At 41.1% G+C, this 1968-nt stretch overlaps 1 pseudogene; it reads left to right on the top strand.

Annotated features, from left to right (window-relative positions):
• Positions 500-866, top strand: DYNLL1P7 (dynein light chain LC8-type 1 pseudogene 7; annotated as a pseudogene).

Here is a 1968-nt window from a genome sequence, read left to right as displayed (position 1 = left end):
CAAATCATTAGCATTTTCATTGCGATTCCTGCTCTGAATAAGTATACATCTTTCCACTTCTACTGTTTTCATTTATTTCAAGCAAACTTGATCTCTTCTTTAGATCGCTTTATTAGTCTAAATTTGGGTTTTCCTATATTGACTCTGGCTTTCCTCCTATTTATTTGCCACACTACAGAAATAGGACTGTTTTCAAAACATACATTCAATCATGTCATTTAAAAAAAATTTTTTTCATCTGCAACAGATTTATTTTTTAAAGGAATGGATTTTGAGAGAAAACAACGTGGGGCAGAAGTATGGAACAGAAAATAAATACAAACGTAGGCTATTCTACTAATTGTTTTATAACCACAACAAACTAGTACAGAGAATGCCCTGTACAAAACACGACAAAGGTTCAAACGAGGTGTTCCCTTAGGAAGCCTGAAAATTTCAGTCTCTGGTATTTAGAATTTAGGCTTCAGTCCTTGTTTTTGGATGGATCACTGGGTGTGTGGCGCCACGGCTTCGGTAGCGAAGGCAGCTCCAGCCGGGCCTGAGCCGTGCTAGCACCTTCCCCAGGAGACCCTTGCAGTTCTCCGTGGTAACCAAGTGCGACCAAAAGGCCGTGATCAAAAATACGGACATGTCGGAAGAGATGCAACAGGACTCAGTGGAGTGCGCTGCTCAGGCGCTGGAGAAATACAACATAGAGGACACTGCGGCTCATATCAAGAAAGAATTTGACAAGAAGTACAATCCCACCTGGAGTTGCATCATGGGGAGGAACTTCGGTAGTTACCTGACACATGAAACCAAACACTTCATCTACTTCTACCTGGGCCAAGTGGCCATTCTTCTGTTCAAATCTAGTTAAAATCATGTCATTAAAAAAAAAAAATCCATTGCTCCCTTTTCCCATTAAAATGAGCTGCAACATTTTTTATGTTACCTACATTATTTGGACTCTACCTACCTCCCTATTCTCTCTCTCTCTCTTGGTTCCTGTTTTGATCTAAATGTGTCCCCCAAAATTCATATGTTGAAACTTAAATAACAGTGTGATAGTATTAAGAAGTGAGGCATTTAGGAGGTGATTAAGTCATGAAGGCAGAGCTCTCGTGAGATTAGTAATCTTACAAAAGGGCTGAAGGAACTTCTGCTATGTGAGGACACAGAGTTCCTCCCATCCAGAGAATGCAAAAAAAGCCCTCACCAGACACTGAATGCCAACAGTTTAGTCTTGGACTTTCTCTCCAGAACTGTGAGAATTAAATCTTTATTATTTATCAATTACTCAATGTCAGGTATTTTATTATAGCAGGGTAAATTCAGCATGGACAGACTGAGACAGTGCCCCAGTCATAATGACCATGTTTCAGTCCCTAGTGTACGCCATAACCCTGGCTTCTTGCTGCTGCAGTGCATTAACACAGGCTGCCTCCTACACTTGAAATACTTTTCCCTTTTTTATATCTATTTCCTACACAAATTTTAGCTTTAACTTCAAGGGCTAAAGCTTTTACTGATCACACCCACCTGCCATTTAGATCAGACGTCTTTTCTTCCCTTTCATGTGTTGGGGGGTGTTGTGGAGGAGACCTGAGATGTGGAGTGATTAATATATTGCTCAGCTCAGGAGACATTATCACTTTCTTTTTGTGGACAAATGTGACAGGTTACATTTTCTAAAGATGACCTTGACAATATCTCCAGTCCTTCATTATGCTTCTTTTGCCACCCCTCCTACCGAGAGGTGGGGACTGCATCTCCACTTCTTATAGTACAGTGAGGTTGTGACTTCTTCAACCAATGAGTATGGTAGCATTGACACTGACTTCTGAGAGTAGGTTATTGAAAATCATGGAACCTCTACTTGGTTTTCTTGGAACACCTATTCAATGAAGGACCCTCTTAGGATGCCCCCTCAGAACCAAGCCATTGGGCTGTGACAAGCCTCAGCCACATAGAGAAGCCATGTATAAG

This window comes from Homo sapiens, chromosome 7 (genome assembly GCF_000001405.40).
Source record: "Homo sapiens chromosome 7, GRCh38.p14 Primary Assembly".
Taxonomy (NCBI): Eukaryota; Metazoa; Chordata; class Mammalia; order Primates; family Hominidae; genus Homo; species Homo sapiens.
Note: the sequence above shows the minus strand (reverse complement) of the source record. Positions and strands in the feature narration are given on the sequence as shown.